Source organism: Homo sapiens, chromosome 1 (assembly GCF_000001405.40).
Source record: "Homo sapiens chromosome 1, GRCh38.p14 Primary Assembly".
NCBI classification, from domain to species: domain Eukaryota; kingdom Metazoa; phylum Chordata; class Mammalia; order Primates; family Hominidae; genus Homo; species Homo sapiens.
In genome coordinates, this window is record NC_000001.11 from 46,222,366 (window position 1) to 46,228,526 (window position 6,161).

A 6,161-nucleotide genomic window follows, 5' to 3' on the forward strand; every position below is an offset into this window, starting at 1 on the left:
ATTAACCCTTTGAACTCTGGGGTAACTGCTCCATATGTTAGTCCCTGCCTTTCCTGGGCCTTGAAACTGGGATACTAGAAGGAAAAAGATGGAAAAGGATGTCAGATGACTTTGGCTGTTCACTGCATCCTCCTGCAAAAGAGGCGTCCTCCTCAAATCCTGGAATAACTCGTGCCATTTCTCTATTTTGTATTCTGTGTTGGGGAAGGGAAGGAAGCCAAATTGATCATCTCTGCTTCCCTAAATTCCTCAAGTCTCATTTTGAAACTCCCACCCCGGTCCTTCTGGAGCAATATTCAGTCCATGGCTTGTCCCTAAACACCCTCTCTTCCCCTCCCACCCCCTCAAATGATTGAAATGTCCAAAGTATATTCTCAGCTTCTTCCACTGCTCACAAGACCTCTCCATACCACTCCTATGGTCTTGGGACTCCTGACTTCCCCTCAGACTGGGAATTTGAATCTCCTATTCCAGTCCCTACTCTGTAGTCATTTTGTAGTGTGCCCTCGGTTAATTACCCTTCCTGTTTTTTTTTGTTTGTTTGTTTTGTTTTGTGTTTTGTTTTGTTTTTGAGATGGAGTCTCGCTCTGTCATCCACGCTGGAGTGCAGTGACGCGATCTCGGCTCACTGCAACCTCTGCCTTCCGGGTTCAAGCGATTCTCCTGTCTCAGCCTCCTAAATGGCTGGTATTACAGACGTGCACCACCATGCCTGGCTAATTTTTGTATTTTTAGTAGAGACGAGGTTTTGCCATGTTGACCAGGTTGGTCTTGAACTCCTGACCTCAAGTGATCCGCCCATCTCAGCCTTCCAAAGTGCTGGGATTACAGGTGTGAGCCACCTGCCTGGCCTGTTGTTTTATTTTTAAGACAGGGTCTCACTCTGTCGCCCAGGCGGGAGCGCAGTGGTGCGATCTCGGGTCACTGCAGCCTCTGCCTACTGGGCTGAAGTGATCCTCCTCAGCCTCCTAAGTAGCTGCGACTACAGGCACGCATCACCATGCCCGGGTTACTTTTTGTATTTTTTCTAGAGACAGGGTTTTGTCATGTTGCCTAGGCTGGTCTCAAACTCCTGGGCTCAAACAATCCTCCCACCTCAGCGTCCCAAAGTGCTGAGATTACAGGCCTGAGCCACCATGCCCAGCCTTTATTTCTTTTTTTTTTCTCTTCAGCAACATTGTTCATGGAATTATACCCTTCTTGGAAGACACTGTATAGTATTCTTATTTGAGGTTCACTTGTTCAGTCTACACACTTATGAGCTGAAGAGGTTGCCCGCCCTCTTGTGGCCATTATGCACCACTGCTGGAGTTGCTGTGTGGAACCTCCAAGCTCAAATAAAACATGGCCTTCTAAAGACCAGCCCCCGTCAGTGCGCAGAAAGGCTAGTGAGTCAGACCTAAAGAGGGCATAGACTTGCCCAGCATCACCCATTGTAAAGTTGTGGCGACGTCCAGGTCAGAAAACCCAGATCACAAGCCCACATGCCCACAGCTCCATCACCTGGCCAGTCAACACCACTGAAGCCCAAAGGGACTGAAAGCAATTTTGCCCCTGTTACAATGTTTGCGTTCTCACCTCTTCCTAAAGAGGCAGCTTAGTCTTTAGAGGAAGAGCTGCAGGAAAGAAAACCCTGGGCCTGGACTGGATGAAGGGGTGAAGGATGCACTAGTCTGGATCACAGATAGGAGGAAAAATCAATCCTGGACCCACCATTTTTCTGGGAAGGAGGGCTAGTAGCTCCAGACATCATAGGAACAGAGCTCAGCATTTCAGACCTGGAGGTTAGAAGCAGAGGTGGGGGTGGGGAGCTGTGAAATTAGGAAACTTAGATGGGTCTTGCAGAAGTAGGTGTGGCTCCACAGGTCAGGGAATTACGGGTCAATTGGATAGCACCTGAGAGTGTTGTGGGGCTGGAAAGCTGGGGTGAGTGAGGCTGCCTGGGTATTCCGCTTAGGTCTAGGCATCCTGGCTGAATACCTTAGATTTCAGTTCACCACCAGAGAAGCCCGGAAACTCCAGTAAACACATATCTTTGGTCCCTTCTACCTGCCTCTAACTTGGCTGGTTGAGGCTCAGCTTCTCTCTAACTAGACTTTTCTGGCTTATAGGGTACAGCTGTTTGGGAGCTCAAAGAAGGAGAAGGTAAGAAAAAGGGCAGAAATGCAGAGAGAGGAGAGGATGGGATGAAAACGGGGTGTGGAAAATATCAGAGGGCGCATACTGCCCTCAAGTGCACTGGGGGCTTTTGTCCGGGGTCAGAGTAAAGACAAAGAAGAGGCTGCTCATGAAAGCTGCAGAAACAGTGCCTGGGGGGATAAGCGGGGGCGGTGCTGGCTGAGACAAGAGACCATGGGAGTGGGCATTGTAAAGACCTGCATTTATTTATTTTATTTATTTATTTATTTATTTTGAGACAGGGTCTCACTCTGTCGCCCAGACTGGAGCGCAGTGGCATGATCTCGGCTCACCGCAACCTCCGCCTACCAGGCTCGAGCGATTCTCCTGCCTCAGCCTCCTGAGTGGCTGGGACTACAGGCACACGCCACTACCACCCAGCTAATTTCTGTATTTCTAGTAGAGATGGGGTTTCACCATGTTGGCCAGGCTGGTCTCAAACTCCTAACCTCAAGTGATTCACTCGCCTCGGTCTCTCAAAGTGCTAGGATTACAGGCTTGAGCCACCATGCCCGGCTGAGGCCTGCATTTAGGATGGAGGCATTGAGGTTGAGCACTGAGCTAACTGGAAGCTCAGTGACAGCTTCAGTGAGAAATGCTTGAGAGTTGTAGCAGACACAAGCTCATTGTGTGTATGGTGCCAGGCACACACTGGGTGTTCCGTGACACCTGTTCAGTGAATGGAAGAATGAATATGTGTAAGCCCACAAGGAGATGTGACTGAAAAAAAAAGTTGCTAATTTACAAATTAGATAATTGAAAATATTTTTAAATTTACTTTTTAGCAATCCTATAAACAGTGCATTGTTAACAATAGTCTTACTTATAAATTTGCTCAAGGTCAGTTAAGTAACAAATGAGCTGTAATAACCCAGATCAACCTGACTGCAGGGGCTTCCAGGAAGCCTCCTCTGATTCCCTACCCATGCCATACACTCACTTAGACCCTACTCTCCTAGGAGAACAGATTAGTGCTGCCCAGAAGCTGGGGCAGGACATTAGTTTCCTATTGTCACTGTAATGAATTACCACAAAGTGGCTCAAAAAACAAAATTATTATGTTACAGTTCAGAAGTCCAAAATCAGCTTCACCAGGCTAAAGTCAAAGTGTTGACAGGTCTACACTCCTTCCGTGGGCTCCAGGGAAGAATGTTTCCTTGCTTTTTCCAGCTTCTAGATGCTGCTTGCAGTGCTTGATTCGTGGCTCTTTTCACCATCTTCAAAGCCAGCAGCAGAGCATCTTCTCTCCTCTCTAACCTCTGTTTCCATCCCTACATCTCTCTAATTCTACTGCCTCTCACTTGTAAGGATTACATTGGGTCTACTGGGATAATTCAGTATCATCTTCCCATTGGCAAGATCCTTAATTAAATCCTGCCTTCAAAGTCCCTTTTACCATTTAAGATAAAATGTTCACAGGTTAAGCAGCTGGTGAGTGTCTGTAGTCCCAGCTACTCAGGGGGCTGAGGCTGGAGGATCACTTGAGCCCAGGAGTTCAGGCCAGCCTGGGCAATATAGTAAGACTCTTCTCTTAAAAGAAAATTTATATTTATCCTCAGGTCCTGGGGATTAGGAATTGGACATCTTTGGGAGAGGGGCTTTTAGCCTGACACAGGCAGGGTGGAAAGTGGGCAGGAGGATGCACCCAGGCCCAGAATGAACCTCTGTGCTTTGTCCAGCCTCCCCTAGCCTGGAATGAGAGGTGGTACCAAGGCGGAGGTGGCAGGTCCAGACCCCATGTCTAGAGAATGTCAAATGCCTCCTGTACCATCACCACCAGGGAGAGCCAAAGATGAAGATCAGGCTTAGGAGAAAGCCTCAGTTTAGGAATCGTTTTAGACCTGAGACCTTCCTGGTAACCACAGTGGAGGATTCCTCAACACTGTCTCCTCTCCAGAACCATTCTGTGCTCCTATTCCCCAAGGCTGAAGATAATTATATTCCCAGTGAACTAACCTGGGTTCTCTCTGGAAAGGGCAGATTGATTAGTTGTCTTCTTTTTAAATTGTTATTTTTAATTATTTAATAGTTAAACCATGCTTCTCATAGCATAGTGAATTCCATCACCAGGCCCCTTTCTTATTTTATTTTCTTCTTTTTTAAAAAAATTTTAGACTGGGCACGGTGGCTCATGCCTGTAATCCCAGCACTTTGGGAGGCCGAGGAAGGTGGATCACCTGAGGTCGGGAGTTCGAGACCAGCCTGGCCAACATGGTGAAACCCCATCTCTACTAAAAATACAAAAATTATCTGGGCATGGTGGCGCATGCCTGTAGTCCCAGCTGCTCAGGAGGCTGAGGCAAGAGAATTGCTTGAACCCAGGAGGCAGAGGTTGCAGTGAACCGAGATCATGCCACTGCACTCCAGCCTGGGCGACAGAGCGAGACTCCGTGTCAAAAAAAAAAATTATTATTTTTTTAAGAGACTGGGTCTCACTGTCACCCAGGCTGGAGGACAGTGATGTGATCTTGGCTCACTGTAACTTTGACCTCCTGGGCTCAAGCAATGCTCCCACCTCAGCCTTCTGAGTAGGACTACAAGTGCACACGAGCATGTCCAGCTAATTAAAAAAAAATTTTTTTTAGAGATTGGGTCTTACTGTGTTGCTCAGCCTGGTCTTGAACTCCTGGCCTTGAGAAGTCTTCCTGCATCAGCCTCCCATAGTGCTGGGATTACAGGTGTGAGCCACTGTGCCTGGCCTCTTCTTTTGATCCCTCATCCCTATTCTCATTCCTCTCCCTGTGTCAGTATATGTTTGGATATGTATGTATCTTTGAAAATATATGTAATTATGTGCCTATGTGTTTTAATATATATAAATGGTATACTTTTATGGTAAGCCAACTTCTGTAATGAATTGCTCCCATATTTCAGTGATTTAACACCACAGATTTATTTTTAACTTATTCTACATGGCACGGGTGTTTCTGGTTGGACAGCTCTCCTCCACTGTCCACTCCAGCTCCCAGGCTTCTTTTATTTTCAGATGGTGATAGCCTCATCCCAGCATCATAAAGTTTCCGGTCAATTTTTCACCAAGTTGTTTTACTATCCGTTGATTATCATTTTATGAATTGCTTGTTTCACTAGGGATTACAGAATGGTGATTTTCTAAGGCTATTAATTTTTCCTCATTTATTAGCTCTAATTCTGTACAGAAAACCTTTTTCACATCCTCTAGGACCATTTGATTACTCCGAAATAAAATTCATACCAGAATGGCAAGATAAATGCTTAAATCTCTTCCCTTACCGTTTTCAAAGTAGTTATGTCCTAACAACTTCTAATGGTGTTCAATGATTTTTTTGTTTCACTCTCTTTTTAAATGATCTCAAACAACCTGTAGTTCTTATGCATTTAATGTCGTTTAATCATTTGCCATTATTTTTTGCTTTATATTATATAAAGTATCAAGCATATACAAAAATAGAGAAAATAGTGTAATGAATTCCCAGGGACCCAGCTTCAATAATTATCAATTCATGGCCAATCTTGGTTTATTTATTCCCTCAACTACTTTCCCCCTAACCAAGATTATTTTGAAGCAAAACCAGATATCATACCAATTTAATCTGTAAATGTTTTAGCATGTATCTCTAAAAGATAAGGATTTTTATTACCATTATTGCACCTAAAAAGTTAATAAATTGTCAGTATAATAAAATATAGTTGGTGTTTAATTTTCCCACAGACTTAATTTTTAAAAGTTTTGGGGCCGGGCGCGGTGGCTCACGCCTGTAATCCCAGCACTTTGGGAGGCCGAGGTGGGCGGATCATGAGGTTGAGAGATCGAGACCACCCTGGCCAACATGGTGAAACCCCATCTCTACTAAAAATACAAAAAAAGCCGGGCATGGTGGTAGGCACCTGTAATTCCAGCTACTTGGGAGGCTGAGGCACGAGAATCGCTTGAACCCGGGAGGCAGAGGTTGCAGTGAGCCGAGATCGTGCCATTGCACTCCAGCCTGGGCAAAAGGAGTGAA